The sequence below is a fragment of the Homo sapiens genome, chromosome 6, assembly GCF_000001405.40.
Source record: "Homo sapiens chromosome 6, GRCh38.p14 Primary Assembly".
Classification (NCBI taxonomy): Eukaryota; Metazoa; Chordata; class Mammalia; order Primates; family Hominidae; genus Homo; species Homo sapiens.
In genome coordinates, this window is record NC_000006.12 from 40,923,862 (window position 1) to 40,945,087 (window position 21,226).

Sequence of the window (21,226 nt, forward strand, 5' to 3'; positions counted from 1 at the left end):
AAACTGAAGTTCCTGGGCAAGGTGAGAAACACCCTACATTACCTCATGTGCCATCTTTTTAATGTTGGAGAGGAGAACATCCTTCTCTTTGCCTAATTAGGTTCAATTTATAGCAAAGATATGCAAGGAAAATAGCCTTTTCTAACTGAGTTCATGGCAGCTACAACCTCTGGGAGGAAGTGGTTCCAGCAGCTGTTGATGGGCTCACTGCCGTTCACAGCTGCTTAAGCAGCAGGTTGGGAAAAGAGGGTTCTCTAGCTCAGTCTCTCTGGGTTCATCGCAAAACATCTCCTGAATGCTCCAGGAATCAGGCTGGAATTTATCATACATTTGGGGAAAATAAGTCAACCCAGTGAAAAGATTTGCTGCAACCTCTGAGAGTTATAATAGCACAAGAAATGGCCTTTCAGATACAATGGCATAAAACCTGAAGTTTTATAGAAAAAAAAACTTAGGTAGTAGGCATGTTTACTCAGGCCATGCCTGCAAGCTGGAAGGTTTGGTTGCCTTCAGCATGGAGCTTCTCTTTGTGGACTTTATCGCAATTTTAATTGCTGCTTGTGTGGCTGTCTACTTCATGCCTCCTCTTCCTCCCAGGGACTGCAGGCTCCATGAGGGAAGAGATGCTTCTGCCTTTTCACCACCAATCCCCACCAGAAAGCTAGTCCCTGACACAGGAGGCATTTATTAACTATCTGTGGAATAAATAAATGAGAGGTTATGTTCTCTTTAAAGCAGAATAGAAAACCAGAATAAAATTGAACAGCAATTGATCATATTTGGAATGGTGCCAAGCTATCAGTTGCACTTAGAATTTGTATTTCTCTAATTCTTGCTCACAGCTCTAGCATGAATGTTAGTGAATAGGTGGTATTTTTAATTCAAGTGTTGATTTCTATAGAAAAGATGTAATTGCTTGTAATCATGTGCTATTAGATCTGAGATACTGCTAACCCTTCTGAGAATCCTAATCATTTGGGCCAGGTGAATACCGTCCGGCCTCACAGGCATGGTGCCCAAGGAAAGTGACAGCAAATGTCAAAACAGCATTCTATCGCACCCCAGGGATGGGAAGAAGATAGAACCTGGTTTTTGGTAGCAGTTCCAACCTCAGGAGGAGCCAGCGTTTGCTGAAATAGGAACTCACATCCATCAGAGGGAGCGGACAGTGAGGCTTTTAATTGCTGACTCTTTTGAACACTGACTCACAACCTCTCTTTGACTGGGGAAATGTCGAAGAATTGCAGCATCAGGAGGGAAGTCCTTCCCATTTGATTCAAAAGACATCAAGGATATTTTTCCCTTTACCTTTTCTATCTTCTCTTTAGGGGACTTTACGGAAACCAGAATCTCTAATAGAAGTGGGTGACAGTAGATTCCTAGCCACTTTAAAGTCCGTAATGAGACACATTCATCTCCCTTCCTGACCCTCTTGAAGGAGTCAACTAAGTTACTTAATATTCTAATGTCCTTGAGTCCCTTGCTTAGAGAATCTCATTTGTTTGTATAAAGAGAAAATTAAAGCCCTACAGTAGGCCTTATGAAAAATTGCTAGAGCTCTTGAGTTAGATTTGGAAGCAGGACACCCACAAACAATAAATACTCCATCCTCCAACAAACTAGAAACTAACACAGCCCCATGAACATGAACTTCCCCAATTCTCCTCAAACAGCACAGAGCGTCAACAGATGGCCCTTTACCCTTTCCTCCCTTACTTCCTTACCCTGTATTCATAAGTTAAGCCCTTCTCAATCCAGTTAGAATCTTTCTCCAGTATCCTGTGTCACCCACCCCAGGTGTGGTGATGTAAAGATTAAGAGTGTGCCCTCTGGAGTCACTCTACCAGGACAAACTTCCCAGTCCCACCTCTTCCCAGCTGATCGACCTGCAGCCAATTATTTAAACTCTCTAAGCTTCAGGCTCTCATCTGTAAGTTGGGAGCAAAATAGTTGCAACCTCACAAGGTTGCTGTGGCAATCAGAAGACACAATCCCTAGTAAGTAAGCCCTTGAGAACAGTTACCTATTATTAATTCTAAAATGCTCTGGCCAAAACCCAATCCTTTCCATTTCCAAACATGCCTATGTTTTTCCTGCTTCTATGCCTTTGATCCCACCTTTTTTTCCCCACCAGAATGCTCTTCTCCTTCTATCTCCTTCACAGAGCAAGCTAAATGCCTCCATTGCCAAGAAGACCCCACTGTTTCCTGCAGCTGGAGGTTTGCCTTCTTCTTTGGCACACTTTTGGCACTGCATCTCTTCTCTTGGTATCAAAGAGCCTGGCTTGGGAGCAGGCAACCTGCTCTGGAGTTCTGGCTCCACCTCTGCCCAGCCATGGGGGCTGAACAAGTGTTTGCATCTGTGTAATAGGATTATTTTTTATATTATACTAGTTACATAAATAATTTTATCAGTTATTTTATTAACAGTAACTACAGAAAGGATTAAATGAGTCACAAAAAAGCACTTAGTACAGTGCCTGGTGCATTAAAAAGTGCTAAGTATTAGCTTTGATTGTTCTGCCTCTCATTTGCAGGTGTCTGGCATAGAGCAGATTTTGCACAAAGCCTTGCAGATGTTACTAAGGTGACTGTACATCCAAGTTTGCCTGTTGTCCCAGCGTAGAAATTAATAACACCCTCTTTCATCCTAAAAAGTGCCACAGTTTAGCCAATAAATGATCCACCCAAAATATTACCCACTTGGTAAATTGTGTTGAGCTAGTGAAGAAAAGCATGCGTGAGGCTTGTTGACCTAGGACCCATGGCTCAGTTACTCCCCTCACTCCAAATGCAGGACTGACACTGAGAATGCCCCTTCACATGCTCCCTGGCCACACCTCCCCCTACCCCATGACCTCTAGGCACCCTCTGCCTCTAGCCTGACCCTGGCTCTTTGGAATGCTCCACTCCATCAGTGTATCCCAATTACTGCTGCTTCTTCTGCGTCCCTCCTCCCTCTCATCATCTGTACACCTGAAAGCCCATACAAATGTATTTGCATAAAGATGATCATACGTGATCATAGTTTAATGTGATGGGTGAAAAGAGTCTTCAGTCTAACATGAAACAGTGCTTTAACCCCAAAAGAGAAAATTCGGGCATCAGAGATAGGCTGCGGCAGGGGCAGACATTTGCCAGAGGGAGTCACCATAAAACACCCTTTTAATGGATTTGCAGTTATTTTCCAAGGATCTGAATATCTGGACCCATTATCTCTGTGCCCCTGCCTACCCTCAGCTGATGGGGATGGCATCTTTTAGTCTAATGACATATGGCACATGAGCAAGAGTGCCTTTCAGGAACTCCACTCTGAAGACTATGACGATGACCCAGGGAAAAAGGACTAGCTAGTGCACATTCAAGGAGCAGCCATGAATGAAATATGAGCCTGGGGAAAGTGACTGAAGAGGGAGATTCCAAGGGAGCGGGGGCTTCTAGGTGCCCACCTGGAGCTGAAAATGGGACATGGGGGAAGGGTAAAGCTCTGTTTCACTATGATCCAGACTCCAAGAGTAATTCTCATCAGCCAGGAATAAGATGAATTTCCAAGCTCTAATAGCAGAATTAAATTGACATAGCCATATATTTAGCAAACTTCGTATTGAGTGCCTACTCTGTACAAAGCACTGGGTGACTAGAAAAGGGTTCCAGACAATAGTTTCATAGGAAAAGCAGTATGACCCTTTCTCCAAGGATCTTTTGAAGTCATTGTCTAGGTAAAGCAGAAACAAGTAAAGCAAGGGTCTGCAAGTGTTCCATTCAGAATGAGAACCAAACCAGTTGGCACCAAGATTGCAAGTCACTGGGCAAAGGGCTGGAAAAGACCAGTTTTAGGTACCACCCAAGGGTTCTTCGCCCTAGGAAGTGGAGGTTCCCAGGTTATGGAGGCAGGAGAGCAGGCCTAATGGATGGGATCCTTGCAAACCTCATTCGAAAAACAGAATTGAGCACAGAGCATGGTTCAGGGTTAACTCTACCCCAGTTTTCCCAGGAAAGCAAGAGAAAAGCTATGAAGATCAATCAGTGTTGGAAGAGTTAAGCCCCATTCAGGAATTAACAGAGGAATTAACCTGAAGAATCACAGAAACTCATATGACCTGACAACTTTCCAAGCATGTAATTTATCCAATTAAACATTTTATGCCACTGTAACCATACAGGGTTTGTGTTTTCATAACCCCAAAGGTCTTTACTTCTTAGACACTTAGGTTTTCTTCATCTTTCTGCCCAGACACATCTGTCTGTATAATTATATCATCTAAAGCATAATATGTGGTATAATTACATGAAATTTTATTTAATTCTTCATTTTCACTCTATGGTGTACATACTGCTCACAGTTTATATAAGGTGCTTGGAGATGGGGTTCCAGCTTTTGATAAAGCTGCTTTCCTGTCTTTTAGTCACCTCTTTAGGGCCCTGCTCAAGTCCTCTTGTCCACGAAGCTTTCCTTGACCACCCCAGGCCACAATGACCGTTCCAAGTTTCTACAACCCTCATCACTCACTTGACACTTGCCCCATATTATCTTGTCTTCCTAATTTGGTCTTGCATCTGGTAGAGTATGAACTCCTCAAAGGGAAGGACCAAGATCTCCTATTTCTGTTGATCACTTGTAGCATCTGCCCAAATGCTTTGGCACCTGCTGGATCCTCAACCCATGACAAATAGATGCTGATTCACTAGGGCTGGGATAGAAGCCATGCTCCTTTGCAGAGGCACATGTTTTACAAGTTATGCACAATTCTTCTACCAGCCCAACCCAACCAAATCTATAGACAAAGAATGATGTTTAGTTCTGTATCAGTTAGGAGCTTTCAGGTGACAGAAAACCCAATTCAAATTGGCTTAAGCAAAAGACCAAATTAATTAGTTCAGATAACCACAAATCCCAGGAATAGTCTGGCTTCAGGTATTTTTGGATTCAGAGCTCAAGTTATATTATTAGAATGAGGTTTTCCTAACCTCTCAGCTCCTTCTTCCTACATGTTGATCTTCCTCACTTTGCTTCTAGTCTCCTTCTGACAACAGCTTCAGCCCTTACGGTATCTTGATCAATAGAAAAGAACACTGCTATTTGCCCTAAAGTGTCTCATGACATCTCATCAGCTCTGATTTACTCACATGCCAATCCCTGGACTAGTTACTTGGGCCCCAGTGAGGCAGTATGCTGCTGCATGACATAAACCTAGAGGATATGTTCCACCCCTAGAGCCCAGGAATCTGTTTTTAACAAGCCCACCAGATTTTTCTAGTGCACATTAAAGTTTGAGGACCATTGATCACGCGTCTGGCCACATGAGTAGGCGAGAAAAGAACCAAGAGAATGGGGGATGAGATCACTGGAGGCAGGAAGCACAGCATATTTGCTGGAACATCTATATAAATATGGAATTGCTTAAAATGGCATCAGGGCCTGGGGAAAGCAGTGAAAGACCATCAGCTAGGGGTACCACCCATCAAAGAGTAAATTTCACTTATAAGACTCAAAGATACATTTAGACTTTGGTCCCCAGTTAGATCCATCTGACTCGAAGTCATAAACTTGTGAAATCTCAACTTTGGAAAAGACCTTAAAGGTCATCTATTCCAAACTCCATCTCTTTTTTTTTTTTTTTTTTTTGAGACAGAGTCTCGTTCTGTCACCCAGGCTGGAGTGCAGTGGTGCTATCTCAGCTCACTGCAACCTCTGCTTCCCAGGATCAAGCGATTCTCCTACCTCAGCCTCCAGCACGTGCCACCACGCCAGCTAATTTGTTGCAATTTTTTAGTAGAGATGGGGTTTCATCATGTTAGCCAGGATGGTCTTGATCTCCTGACCTCGTGATCCGCCCGCCTTGGCCTCCCAAAGTGCTGGGATTACAGGCGTGAGCCACCGCGCCCATCTCCGTTTGATCCCAGAACCCCTTGGACATCATCCCTTGCCCACTGTTCATCTAGCCACTACACAAGTACTTCCCCTAATAGAGACATCCTTACTGCTCAAAGCAGCCGAATCATCTTCTAATGCTCTAGATGTTTAAAATGTCTTACTCTGTTAGGCAGAAATCTCTCTCTTTATAAATTCCTTCCATCAGTCCTGATTGTACTAGGAATGATACAAGACAATTCTATTCCTTGTTCCAAAAGACACCCCTTGCATATTTGAAGACCGTATTATCCCCCCTGTATTTCTTCTAGCCTCCAGGATACACAGCCCTAGAGATGTCTGTCAGTCATCCTTTGGGTGTTGTGGAATCTAATCCCCTACCTCTCCTGGTTGCCCTCTCTCCTGAAGGTGTTCTAGTTGGTCTGTGTTCCTCCCTCTTGGAGTATGATGCTCAGAACACAACACTCCAATAGTGATCTAATGAGAGAAGAATAGAACCATTGTCTCATTCTAGACACTACTTTTCTATTATTACATCCCAGCATATGTTAGCATTTATAGCAACCACTTCTCAGTGCTTACTTATCATGGCTTTCTCCTAATCTCCTCCCTCTTTGCCCTTGTGCAGCTGCTAGTTTACATCTCTCTCATTATAGACCCTGCGAAGTTTGTTTGTGAGCCCAGGTTTATGACCTTAGAAATAATAAGTGAATTTCAGACAAGAAGAATAAGCTACACAATTCTATTACCACTGCTTACTCATTAACTATTGTAATCTTTTAAATAACATGCCAGGATTTAAAAAATAAAATTTCGCAAACATGGAAGACTTACCATGTACAAATAGTGAAAACATGAGATGAATAAGTGAGGAGGGGAAGGGCTTGCTTTTGGTGGGACTCATGTTTTGGCCAAGGAAATAGAGTGAAACAACCAACCCCAGGAGTGGGTGGCAGTCGCCATGGTTATGGTGTAATGGTAACTCTCATGTCTGCCCCAGGACTGAGGGGCCTTACTCAAGAGCTGACAAAGTAACTGCAGTTGGAAGGGCGTGTCTTATTTCTGCAGTCAACAAGGGAGGAGCCAGGCCTTCCAGGAAGCAGGAGCCGCATGCCAAGACCCAGAAGCATAAGCACCATGTACATTCTGGGAAATGGGGCTGGTCCCAGCTGGTTGGGACCTGTGGGGTCCCCTGTGGGGAGAGTGGTGAGGGAAAAGTGAGGTTCTAGCCAGACTGTCAGGGCCTGGAAGACCATATTGAGTCTGAATTTTATAATGTGGTCTCTGAGAAGAGAATGAAGATCCTTAAAGGAGGAAAACCGGCAAGTGGAATCGACACTGGAAAGCAAGGAGACCAGAGAAGAGGTTGCTACACTCAACTGAGGAGTGATATCTAGAACATACAAGTGTTTCATGCAGATCAATTTAAAAAAAAGAGAAAGAAAGAAAGCAGAATAGAAAAGCAGACTAAAGATATGAACAGACAATTGGTAGAATGGAAAACACAAATAGCCACTAAATATATATAAAGGTGAAGACCTTGTTGGCAATCAGGGAAATTAAAATGAACACTACAACATATTGTCATTTCACAGCCATCTGATGGGCAAAATTTAAAGTATAATAATACTGAGCATTCCTGAACTACTCACACACTGATAATAAGAGTACAAATTATAGGCTTCTTTTGGAAAGCAACTTGTCAACATCTAATGAAGTCGCAGTGTGCACATCATTGCATCCAGGATTCCAAGTCACCATATCAGTCCCATGTGCTCACAGGAGTATATACGAGGATGTTCATTACAGCCTTGCCTGTTACAGCAAAAGAGAATGAGAAAGAGACAGAGCACACCTAACTGGCTGTTATGGGCTGAATGGTGTCCCCCCAAAATTCATATGTTAAAATCCTAACCCCTAGAACCTCAGAGTGTGACTATATTTGGAGATAGAGTCTTTAAAGAGGTGGTTAAGTTGACATGAATTCATTGGGATGAGCCCTAATCCAATATGCCTGGTGCCCCTATAAGAAGAAAAGATTAGGACACAGGTAGGCACAGGGAGAAGATAGCCATCCATGAGCCACAGAGAAAGGCCTCAGAAGAAACCAACCCTGGCAACACCTTGATCTTGGACTTCTAGACTCTGGCATCAAGAGGAAATAAATTTCTGTTGTTTAAGCCACCCAGTCTGTGGCACTTTGTTATAGAAGCCCTAGCAAACTAATACAATGGCCTTCAATGGGGGCATAAAGTTAAAAATAATTAAATTAAAAGAATAAACCAGATCTATGTGTATCAACATGGCTGCAGCTTGACAACATAATGTCACATGAAAAATCAAGTTGCAGAAAGTACAGTCAGTATGATGGGAATTCTGTAACGTGGCTGGGAATTATACAAACTAATTTCAGGATATTAGTCATGGTGGGGAGGGACAGGAATGGGGTGGCAGGGAGGTGGAAAGAGGCTTCAACTGTATCTATAAGGCTTCATATACATAAATAGATATAGAGGTATAAATGACAGAAAGTAAATATTTGCTAATTGTGGTGGTAGGCACATGTTATGTTTTTCTCTGTATTTTATTGTATTTTATTTTTATATATGTTTTTAAATTGTTTTAAGAGGAGATTGGGAAAGGAGTGCTGAGGACCTGAACCAAGGCAGCAGCTCAGAGGGAGGAACTCACCAGCATCTCATTTTCAGAAACTATCTTTTCTCTTCACGTGTTATCTATTCCTTTTCTTCCAGGAGATAGTGTAGTGCTCTGTTCCAGAATGAAGATACTAGCTGCTTTCTTCCCTGGATGAGTCCTGGAAGCTGCAGGACTGGAAGTCATGAGACTTGACTCATGTTTTCCTTTTAAGTTCTTCCAGCTCAGAAAAATGGAAACCTCTTTTAGGTGTTCTCGCTAAAGCCTTTGCCCAAGGGTCCCACCTTTCATAATGACACAGCATGTCCAGACCATGCCCTTGGTGTTGAGCTTTCAGGACTCAAGTCACACACATGTTCATTTTGCCCACAAAAGGCAGTGACGCCAGGCCCAGCAATGTTCCTGAAAAGGGCACAGATGGGTTTCTGGTTCCACCCCTGCCTCTAATCAGACCCATTTCCCTGGGCAAGTCTCTCACCCCTGAGGCTCGGTTTCCCTTCCGTGATACCAGGGGTTTGGACTAGATTTCACCCATCCCCTATGCATCTCACCCTGTTTGTGTGGCGGAAGCATGGCTCTTACAGGACAGGACCCATTCAGGCTTGGCAGCCACCAAGTCAGGCCTCCCCCTGCTGAGCTGCCTGCAAAGTTGTTCATTTATCTTGTCCGGAAGAGGCAGCTCACTTGTGAATCTTGGCATATCAATCAACACATCCAGCAGAGGCATTGAGAGATTCAGAGCCCGCAAAGCATATCTAAGCTTGTTTATGGCTATCCTAAGGGCTGTGCTAGTTGCTTGCAAACAAAATGCTCCAACTCATTGTGGATCTATATTTGGTTCCAGCATGAACATTGTAATCGCTAAAATTCAAAACCAGGCAGACAGTCGGCGCCTTGGGACTTGTTTCTGAGGCTGAACTGGGATATGCCGGGGGTAATCAACCAACTGATCCTTCAATATTTGTTGGCTCCTTGGCCTGTACCTGTTGGCCCCATTGTGACTTGGGCAGAATTTGTCTTTAGTGCTTCTGCTCACCCATCCCCAAAGCCTTTGCACCTCCGGGCCCCTGCCTTGTTTGAGTACCTAGTACTCTCTTCTCCCTCCTCTACTCCAATCACACCTCTCTCTCAGGGAAGAATGTATCCCACTTCTTGATCTCTTGAGCTTGCTTTGTTCAAAGAACATCCTTGTTCCTTTATAAGGACTTCCAGGCAACAGGGAATAAGCAGGTGGCAAACGTATGCTCTTTGATCTGACATCCTTCCTCCACTCCCCACCCATGATTCCCTCTCCACAATGTGGTGGGAATAAATCCCTGCCTTGGCCCTTACTGTCCTGTGGTCAACCTTAAAGCAGGTTGCTCAACTCTCCAAGCCTCAATTTCTCATCCATAAAATAGGGAACACGGTGCCTACTTTCCAGGGCACCTTTCAGGTGCTACTTTCCAGGGCACTTTCCAGGTGCCTACTTTTCAGGAGTGATGCATTAAGGTACATTAAGCCCCTGGCCCTTAGAAGATGCTCAGTAAACAACAGCTATTATAACTGTCATGGGTTTAGAGGAGGGCAGGGGTTCCTTCCAGGGTTTCCAGCTCACATGATGTTAAGCACTGTGTTATGCACTAGGCATTTCAGAGGAAGAAGCTCGAGTTCATGATGTTGAGGACTTCAGTTCTAACGAGAGAGCTAATGCCACATTACAGAAAATAAACAGTGACTAACACATAGCCGCACAGAGAGTAGCAAACCCCCCAAGCATGGCAGAACTAGAGATTTAGGACTCCAGGCCTGTAATGATGAGCCGTGGAATTAACCCCACACTGGGCATCTGAGACTGAGGGGTTCCAGTCCCAGCGCTTCACCCAGCTGCCAGAGAGCCTCTGCTTCTCCATTTTCTCATGTATAAATGAGAGAGTTGGATTTGGTTAATCTCTATGGTCCATTTCTGATCGTACATTCTAAATTTTTTTTAATTCTCTCACTTTAAACAGCTGCCAGCCTGCCTGCCTTTCTTCTTCTCATGAGCTTTGTTTTTAATGCGATAAATAAAACAAAGACTTTTGCCCACATGGAGTTTACATTTTAGGGGAGACAGATAATAAAGATAATAAGCCCAATGTATAAGATGTCAGGTGGTTAGGAGTGCTACGGAGAAAAATTAGGCAGGGGATAGGGGATGATCAGGAGGAGGGTGTGCAACTTAACTGAGGAAGGCCTCCCTAGCAAGTAACAAATAAGCAAACCCCTGGAGGAGGAGAGGGAATGGGGAACAGCAGGGCCAGGGATCCCAAGGATGGTGAGTGGCCTTCACGGTGTGTGCAGGGGGCCTTGCAGACAGTGCTGCAGCACAGACACAGGTGGGCGGGTGCGTGAGCTGGGAGCATGTGGAAGCTCTCTCCCCTCAATGGTGTCTGTCACGGTGAAATAGGAGGTGAGGTCATGAACTGAAAGGACAGGGATGGAGGTGTCAGAGGTTGGAGGAGAGGAGAGAAGCCATGAAATGGCTACCTGGGAGAGTGGGAGCAAGAAGGACAAGGGAAATGCTTAATTCCTTTCTGTGCCTTAAGAAACTGGTTCTCATGACCTAGCTGGGGCACAATAGAGCATTTTTATCCATTCACACATTCATTTGGCTAAATGTGGGTGAGTGCCATTGGCTGGCACCCTCTGAGGCAATGTCAGACCAAGAGACCTTTATATAGGGTCACCAGACCTCCCTATTAGCCCAGGACTTTCCCTGAGACAAAGATTTGAATGTAAGTTATTTATTGGGGAAGTAAAGGTTGGCGGTTAAGGAAAGGAGGAGCAAATCCCAGTGGCCACCGTGGGCAGCTGGGGCTCAGCCCTATGGGGGCCTCCAGGAGACTGTAGAGCACTGCATCACCATCCCCATGGAGGAGGAGAGTGTGCGTCCACCAACTCCTGTCCCTCACTGGCTATGCGCTGCTCCCCACGGTGTTAACTCTGGCTTTTCTAGCCTGCTCCAGTGAACAAAGAAAGCCCCCAGGCTGGCAGTGAGCACCTCAGAGGGTATAAGAGCAGTGAGGGTAAGAAAATATGAGCAGGCATCAGCAGCCTCAGTACCACGCTTGGAAGTGTCTTGGCTTAGATAAAAGGTTATATGTCATCCTAAGTATAAGACACAGTCCTTCCCTTCAAAGGATGAATTTAGAAGGGAGGCTAAGAAAAGTCTTAAACATAAAAAAAAGTAAAAAGAAACCATAAGAGAAGAAACAGGATGGCATAGGCTAAATGCCAAGTGAGTCTAGTCATCAAGGAGTTAGGGGAGGAGGTGACTTCTGGGACCTGGGATGGAGGAGAAGGTGCCTGAACTGGGTGGAACTGGGTGAGCAGGCAAGTAGCAGAGGGCATGAGCAGGGACCTGCTTCACCGAGATGGCTGTGTTTTGCCTTTGTATCCAAAGCTGACACAATGACAGGTGGCTGCTGCTAACTTGGAGACCCCAAGGTGTGGTAGAGAAAGACTGATGCTCATCCAGAGATGCCTCTGGCCACCTGCGCCCTGCAGGTGCAAGGCAGTCTTGATTTGCAGCTGAGGCTGCTGTTTGGGAAGCTGTCATGGTTCAGAGGCTTTTCTTCAGGGAAGCATAAAACAAAGAAGGAGCTTCTCGCAGGTTGTTATAAAGCAGTCTCAAAAATATACCTCTGATTTCCAGCCTTCCTGCACAGGGCAGCTGCTGAAGACACAGCCATGATTCACTCCAACAAATGATCTCAGCATCTTTCTTCCTGCAACACTGTAGAAGTTTCGGAAATTTGGCCTGTGGTTCACTCCTGTTCTCCAAACTCTGAAGCGTGGGGGTAGCTGAGCACTTGGATTCCGTATTTTGATGAGGATGAATTAATTCGTGCACAAACACACAATCACAGACCTACCACTTGGGTTGGGTGTTCTAATGAGGGAGGTGATTGCATGATGCTGAGTCAGGACAGGGTGGCCCTAGCCTAATTGCCTTCCATTCTAGGCCTGGAGACCAGTGTCTGCTGTGCTCCTGAGGTGAACCCTCTCCTTTCTCCAGCCACCTCCTCCTGTCCCTTTACCGAGATGCAGACTCTCCCAGGTTCCACCTTTCAGTCCTGTTCCCAAACTGCAATAGCTCTCCCCAGAATTACCACAAAAGCCAAAAATCTACTCATCTGCTTCCACACACTTCTTCCCACCCTGTGTTTGGGGAATAAATTGTTCTCAAACACCTCTTTGTTCTTTTTGCCCCATATGGTTCAGGAACATTCAATGGCTCCCTACGACCCACAGAATAAAATCCACATTCAAACAGAAGGCCCTCCACCAACCAACTTCTGCTCCCTGCTTCCCACCGTCTTAGCTCCTTACATCCCAAGACAGCCTATCTGCATTAGCCAAGTCCCTCAACTTGCTCTCCCTGCAAGACTTGCTAGTTCTGACTTCCCAGATTTCTACTTTCACATTCTCCCTGCCTTCAAGAGGTCCCTCCCCTTAGCAAATCCATTTCCATTGCTTGAAGCCAGAAGAGGTGACAACAGTGAACTTTCCCAAAGACTAAACACTCACTGCACACTGATCACCATGACTAATCAGTGTGCCCTTCAAGTCAGGACCCACATACTTGATGATTGAATGAACAAATAAAGAAGCCTTCCTGGCTAGGCCTCCCTGTTCAGATAATCCCCCTTGATACGGCGAGTCTCAGCATGAGTGGGTAGAATAGTTACAGCTTGAGTCGTTTCCCCTTACCCCACAGCCCCCTATATGTAGCAATTTGCAATTTTGCTGAGGCAGATTTTAGTGTCTTGCTGTGAGGCTGATGCTTAAAGTGACTTAGCTAGAGAGAGAACCCTACAGAGCATTCAGCCTCCAAATTTAAACTCGGTTCTGTTTTACTCTGCTCATCTGTCACATATGCAGTGGTTGTCAGGAAGTAATTTCAGAAAATGTTTTTCCTCCTGAAAATGACCAATTTTTTTCCCAAGGGAAATAGAAGACTTTGGTAATGGTGTAAAGGCAGTCCCCTTGTGGTACTGGCAATGCTGGCCTCCTTTTTGATTTGACTGTAGGCTCCCCCTCTGTTTGGTTCATATTGGCTCCTCAGTGCCTGGCACATGGAAAGTGTTCAATGTTCATTTACTCTATGTGTAAATACATGAGTGGGGACTGTACTGTGCAACTGTGCTTCAGAAATGTAGTTCTAGACAGGAATGCATTTCAGGGAAAAGCCAGGAAGCTGCACAAACATTTTAGCATTCAAAAACATGAGGATTTACAATGTTTCCCAGATAAATCACTCATGCAAGCCCACAGCTTCTCCTGCACATGGCCATCTGCCCCATTGGAATTTCCTGCTGTTCTTTCAGGTGCACGTGGTTGTGTCCTCAACTTAAACAGATTCTTGAGGGCAGGCACTTGGTGTCGTGTCTTCATGTCCCTCACAGAGCTTGAACAGTGCTGGCAAGATCACAGAAGGTGGAGAGTAAATGTTTGCTGACTAACCAATGGGAAGGTTCCCTTGGGAAAGGATGGATTTGCAACTCTGCCCATGGGCCCTAGAGCCACCCATGTGGTGCCCCTTTCTCAGGGAGCAGGTGCCTACCCCTCCCCTCCTGGAGTAGCCACATCAGGGCAGCTCTAAGGCCAAGACTACCTTCAGCAGTACAAGAATCACAGACTGTTAAAAATGTCAGAGCTTACAGGCCACCTCATTCAACCTCCTTGTTTTTCAAGCGAGGGAACTCTGAATCCAGGGAAAGGAGCTAATTCTGTCTCAAGCTCTCAATGCCCAGTGCCCGCTTATCCTTCCCACACAGGATGCTCCTTCCTGTTGGCCTTCTCAAGCCTCCTTGCCCCTCTAAGACTGCTGAGGCCCCCATTGTCCAGGAGGGCCCAGGTTCACATTAACCTTGCACACAGGAAATAGTTAGTGAATATAGCTGTGGAATAAATGAATGACCTCTACAATTAGAGTATCATATCCTGGTATTTTTGAGATGAGAAACCACTCTGCCTCTCACCTGCAGCCCTAAGCTTCCCTGAGGCTTCTGGGAGTTCTGGTTGGACTGATGAGCTGGAGGTGAATGCTAAGGGGGACCTTATCTGCAACCTACACGCAATCACTCACCCCTCTTCCCATATCCTGAATTGCCTACAGACCCACAGACAGGCACCAGGGCTCCATGATTCAATGGTTTTAACTCGAACAGCATTTGTTATTGTTTTTCATTTTTAATTTTTGTGGTATATAATAGGTATATATATTTATGGTATACATGAGATGTTTTCATACAGGCATGCAATGTGAAATAAGCACATCATGGAGAATGGATTATCCATCCCCTCAAGTATTTCTCCATTGAGTTGCAAACGATCCATTTACACAAGTTATTTTAAAATGTACAATTAAGTTATTGTTGACTACAGTCACCTTGTTGTGCTATCAAGTAGGAGGTCTTGTTCATTCTAACTACATTTTTTGTACCCATTAACCATCCGCACCTCCCCCACAGCTCACCACTACCCATCCCAGCCTCTGGTAACCAGCTTTCTACTCACTATGTCCATGAGTTGAACAGTATTTATATTGTGTTTCTTCTATGTTCCAGGCACAGAGCCACAGGCTTGGGTCCCTTTACATGAAATTTATAGTCCCTCACTGAACGTCCCTGTTTTGGACAGAAGAACCATCTCTGATTTATCACTCTGTCTTGTGAAATACAAAGAAATAAGGTCTTCAAGTTACCATGTCCATTTACCCACCCCAGACATCCTCTCAACCAAATCACTGTGAACTTATCATGGAGTTCCAGTGCCCCACCACAAAGAAGAGAAGGAAGAGTAGAAAGGGTTTGGCTAGAGTTTCCTGGCCTGGCTTTTCTATTCTACTGGGTAGACCCTCATGGGGCCCAGAGGCTCAGTGACATCTGCCCTCCTCTGGCAGTCATGTAGGATGGAGACACTCCAGGTACCAGAAGGGTCCCAGCTAAAGGAAAGTCCAGTTGTACAGCCCTTAGAGAGAATCTCCTAGGCCTCACTGGAGAAAGATGGCATCACCCCAGGGCTCCTGCCTGAGGACCAACTTATTCCAAGGCCTTTACTTAGTAGAAGAACATATAACACCATTATGTAACTTTGAAAAGTAAAATCCATGTTGATTAATAAAAGTGACTTTTCCAAAGCTGTACTAACGTGTGCTCAATTTCAAATCCATTTCCCTTGCTTAATAGACTGAAAAGGTTTGAGGGATGACTTTCAATCAGGGTGCTTTGTCATGGTCCCCAGAGAAACTCTTCTCTTCAGGGGCCAGCATGGAGGAGGAGAGGCAGGGATTGTCTGCTTTCTCGGCATAATCTAGATTCTACAGACCCTGGACACTCTGATATCAGTCCTATGGTGAAGCAGGAGAAAAATTGAGACCCTCTGGCAACATGTCTTATCTGGGGATGATAGCTCTCCTCCAACCTCATCCTAGGGGTTCTTCAAGAGGACTTCCTTGAGAGCAAGATGTTGAAACTATAGTAAAACAAAACAAACCCAAACACACCATGAGCTGAAGCTTTGGAATCCTAAACTCTGGCTCAGGTCTCCCATTAACTTGCCATGTCTCCTTGGGCAAATAGTTTCACGTTTCTGCACCTTAATTCCCCCATCTATGTAATGAGAAAATCTAACAAGATGAGTGGTTCTCAGTTGGGAGCTGATCCCCACCTAAGTGGTCGGGGGAGGTCACTACAACTTGTGGGGCTACTGGTATTTAGTGGGTAAGGTCATGGATCCTAAATGACTTACAATGCATAAAACAGTACCCTATGATAAACAAATTATCCCACCCAAAATGCCAGAAGCAAACTCACTGAGAAATATTGAATTACATGATGTTCTGAGGTCTTCCCAACTTTGACAAGTCTGTGATTCTAAGTTTTAACTATCCCTGTTCCACCTCTCTTTCCTTGCTTTCTCCATGTAGTAAATATCTACCAAGTATCTTTCATGTGCCAGGCACTATTCTATGTGCTAGAGTGGTCGGTGGGAGCAAAACAAAGTTCTGGCTGCCATGGAGCTTATATTTTAGTGAGGAAGACAGATGAGAACCCCAGATACAATAGACACATGATCTATTATCATGTCATGAGAAGTGCCATGGAAAAGGCAAGCAGGGTGGGGGAGGATAAAGATGGGGCATGCAGGTGCTATCCTCTGTCAGATGGTCAGAGAAAGCCGTCTCCAACAAGTGACTTTTAAGCAGAACTGAAAGACGTGAGGAACAAGCCATATGGACATCTGGGAGTGAATGTTCCAGGGAGAGGACATGTGAAGACCACAACAAGTGAGTGAGCCTAGAGTATTTAAGCTTCAGCAAGGGGGCCAGTGTGGCTGGAACAGAGAGGATGAGGGGGAAAGTAAGGAGAAGATGAGATCGAAGACGGTATGAAGGTCAGATCATAGAGCACCTCTGCTAAAAGTCAGCATCGGCATAACCTGGGAGCTGGTTAGAAAGAGTCTCAGGCCTCACCCCAGACCTACTAAGTTAGTATCTACATTGATCAAGGTCCCCAGATTCTCAATTAAGGTTGAGAAGTGTGGTTGTAAGCAGCGGGTCTCAACCCTGGCTGCTCACCCGGGAAGTTTTTTAAAATGCTGGTGCTGGGATGGTTTAACATATGCAAGTCAATAAATGTGATACATCACATAAACAGAATTAAAAACAAAAATCATATTATCATCCCAATAGACATAAAAAAGCATTTGGCAAAATCCAGCATCCCTTTATGATTAAGACCCTTAGCAAAATTGACATAGAAGGGATGTGCCTTAAGGTAATAAAAGTCATCTATGACAAACCCACAGCCAACATTATACTGAACAGGAAAAGTTGAAAGCATTCCCCCGAGAACTGGGACAAGACAAGAATGCCCACTTTTACCACTTCTGTTCAACATAGTACTGGAACTCCTCGCCAGAGCAATCAGACAAGAGAAAGAAATAAAGGGCATCCAAATTGGTAGAGAGGAAGTCAAACTGTCACTGTTTGCTGATGATATGGTTGTATACCTAGAAAACCCTAAAGACTCATCCAAAAAGCTCCTAGATCTGATAAATGAATCTAGTAAATTTTCAGGATACAAAATCAGTGTACACAAATCAGTAGTACTGCTATACGCCAACAGTGACCAACCTGAGAATCAAATCAAGAATTCAACCACTTTTACAATAGCTGCAAAAAAAATTAAACATTTAGGAATATACCTAACCAAGGAGGTAAAAGACCTCTACAAGGAAACTACAAAACACTGTTGAAAGATATCATAGACGACACAAACAAATGGAAACACATCTCATGCTCATGGATGGGGAGAATCAACATTGTGAAAATAACCATACTGCCAAAAACCATCTACATACAAATTCAATGCAATTCCCATCAAAGTACCATCATCATTCTTCACAGAACTAGAGAAAACAATGCTAAAATTCATATGGAATCAAAAAAAGAATCCACATAGCCAAAGCAAGACTAAGCAAGAATAACAAATCTGGAGGCATCACATTACCCAACTGCGAACTGTACTACAAGGCTATAGTCATCAAAACAGCATGGTACTGGTATAAAAATAGTCACATAGACCAGTGGAACAGAATAGAGAATCCAGAAATAAAGCCAAATACTTACAGCCAACTGACCTTCAACAAAACAAACAAAAGCATAAAGTAAGTAAAGGACACCCTATCCAACAAATGGTGCTGGGATAATTGGCAAGCCACATGTCAAAAAATAAAACTGGATCCTCATCTCTCACCTTATACAAAAATCAACTCAAGATGGATCCAAGACTTAAATCTGGCCAGGCACGGTGGCTCACAACTGTAATCCCAGCACTTTGGAGGCCGAGGCAGGAGGATAATTTGAGGTCAGGAGTTCGAGACCAGTCTGGCCAACATGGGGAAGCCCTGTCTCTACTAAAACTACAAAAATTAGCTGGGCATGGTGACGGGCACCTGTAATCCCAGTTACTCAGAAGGCTGAGGCAGGAGAATTGCTTGAACCTTGGAAGCTGAGGCTACAGTGAGCTGAGATCATGCCACTGCACTCTAGCCTGGGCAACAGAGCAAGACTCCATCTCAAAAAAAAAAAAAAGACTGAAATCTAAGACCCGAAACCATAAAAATTCTGGAAGATAACATTGGAAAAACACTTCTAGACATTGGCTTAAGCAAAGACTTCATGACCAAGAACCCAAAAGCAAATGCAACAAAAGCAAAGATAAATAGATAGGACTTAACTGAACTAAAAAGCTTCTGCACACCAAAAGAAATAATCAGCAGAGTAAACAGACAACCCAGAATGGGAGAAAATTTTCACAAATTATGCACCCAACAAAGGACTAATATCCAGCATCTACAAGGAACTCAAACAAATCAGCAAGGAAAAAAAAAATCCCATCAAAAATGGGCTAAAGACATGAATAGACAATTCTCAAAAGAAGATATACAAATGGCCAAGAAACATATGAAAAAATGGTCAACATTACTAATTACCAGGGAAATGTAAATCAAAACCACAATGTGATACCACCTTACTCCTGCAAAAATGGCCATAATTAAAAAATAAAAAAATAATAGATGTTGGTGTGGATGTGGTGAAAAGGGAACATGTTAAACTGCTGGTGGGAATGTAAATTAGTACAACCACTATGGAAAACAGCATGGAGATTCCTTAAAGAACTAAAAGTAGATCTACCATTTGATTCAGCAATCCCACTACTGGGCATCTATGCAGAGGAAAATAAGTCATTACACAAAAAAAATAAAATAAAATAAAATAATTTAAAAAAAAAACACTTGCACATACATGTTTATAGCAGCACAATTCACAATTGTGAAAATATGAAACCAGTCCAAATGCCCATCAATCAACGAGTGGATAAAGAAAACTGGTACACACACACACACATATACACACCATGGAACACTACTCAGACATAAAAAGGAATGAAATAATGGCATTTGCAGCAAACCAGATGGAGTTGGAGACCATTACTTGAAGTGAAGTAACTCAGGAATGAAGTGAAGTAACATTGTATGTTCTCACTTATATAAGTGGGAGCTAAACTATGAGGATGCAAAGGCATAAGAATATGATCCAATGGACTTTGGGGACTCAGGGGGAAGTGTGGAAGGTGGGTGGGGGATAAAAGACCACACACTGGGTACAGTGTACACTGCTCAGTTGATGGGTGCACCAAAATCTCAGAAATCACCACCAAAGAACTTTTTCATGTAACCAAACACCACTTGTTCTCCAAAAACTATTGAAATTAAATGAATAAATAATGCTGATACCCAGGTCCCATCCCAGACCAATTAAGATTTCCTGGTGGTAGGTCTAAGTAAATATATTTATTATAAAATCTTCCCAGGTAATTCAAAACGTGCAGCCACGATCAGACCACTGGATCACACATGTCCACACCTTTCAGCCTCACTAAGCAAACTCGGTGAAACGGATGAGCCTCTGCAAGGGCGTGGATGCCTCTGCACTGGAGCTGCTTGCTGCATTCTCTGTCCCCCCTGCTGACTGTCAGGTCCTCAAAGATAGGGTTGTGCAGCCTTCACTGCTGTGTCCCCAGTGCCTAGCCTGTAGGATCTGCCCCGTGCATAGCTGTTTAAGAAATAGATGAACATTTGAATGACCAGAGAGAACTTGCCTGCCACACCCAACCTTACCTGTCACATAGGATTCCCAGCTGGGAGCTTTGGTGACTCCAGCCCCATCTGGGAGGGATGCTTCTCATGGTACCTCTCCTCCTCCTTCAGACAATGGCTCCCTCAACCACTAACAATTCTGACTCCATCTTCTCCCCTTGGTGATTCAGGTAAATGGAACCTTAGACCACTGGAGTCTAAGGTACCTTTAGAGGTCGTCCCTGCCCCCACCCCCCGACATACACACACACCTCTCACACAGAAGAAGAGATTACAGAAGAAGAGATTCCAGAAAGGGAAACTGACTTGCACAGAGGCATAGAGCAAAATGAGCAGCAGGGCTGGGCCTTGATTGCCATCCTCCAGCTCCCAGTCCAAAGCCCTGCCCACTGCCCCCCACTTGCTTCTTGGCCTTTGCATCCCTCTTCCATGTCCCCTCTTCACTTCTTCTTAATTCCCTGCCTGCTGGCTCCAGTCTCTCTTCCTCCCTTATTTCTCACACCAGAGCCAGATCTAGATTGGCCAGGAGCAGTGGCTCACACCTGTAATCCCAGCACTTTGTGAGGCCGAGGCGGACAGATCACCTGAGATCAGGAGTTCGAGACCAGCCTGGTCAATATGGTGAAACCCTGTGTCTACTAAAAGTACAAAAATTAGCTGGGCATGGTGGCATGTGCCTGTAATCCCAGCTACTAGGGAGGGTGAGGCAGGAGAATCGCTTGAACCTGAGGTGGAGGTTGCAGTGAGCCAAGATCATGCCACTGCACTCCAGCCTGGGTGACATAGCAAGACTCTGTCTCAAAAAAAAAAGAAAAAGAAAATCGAATGGAGCCTGAAGCTTGTACAATTTTAGGATCCCTTGTAAGGAAAACAGTACAATATTATGAACACGAAATAGGGTACAAAAGTAAATATCTTAAGAAACACATTAAAAATTAGAAACTCCAAAAGCTGACAAATACCACAAATGTATCTACAATGCAGAAAAGTAATATCCTATCATTAACTG

At 44.2% G+C, this 21,226-nt stretch overlaps 1 long non-coding RNA gene across 1 annotated transcript in view, besides 1 other annotated feature; it reads right to left on the reverse strand.

Moving 5' to 3' along the window:
* The window catches only part of LOC101929555 (uncharacterized), a 144,395-nt gene that overhangs the window by 44,976 nt on the left and 78,193 nt on the right, over window positions 1-21,226 (reverse strand). The window lies entirely within an intron of this gene.
* Window positions 6,749-7,043: an enhancer, noted in NCBI's record as "tiled region #12741; K562 Activating DNase matched - State 8:EnhW". NCBI's record gives its function as "activates a minimal TATA promoter and a strong SV40 promoter by Sharpr-MPRA in K562 cells {active_cell/tissue: K562}" and the evidence as "EXISTENCE:reporter gene assay evidence [ECO:0000049][PMID:27701403]".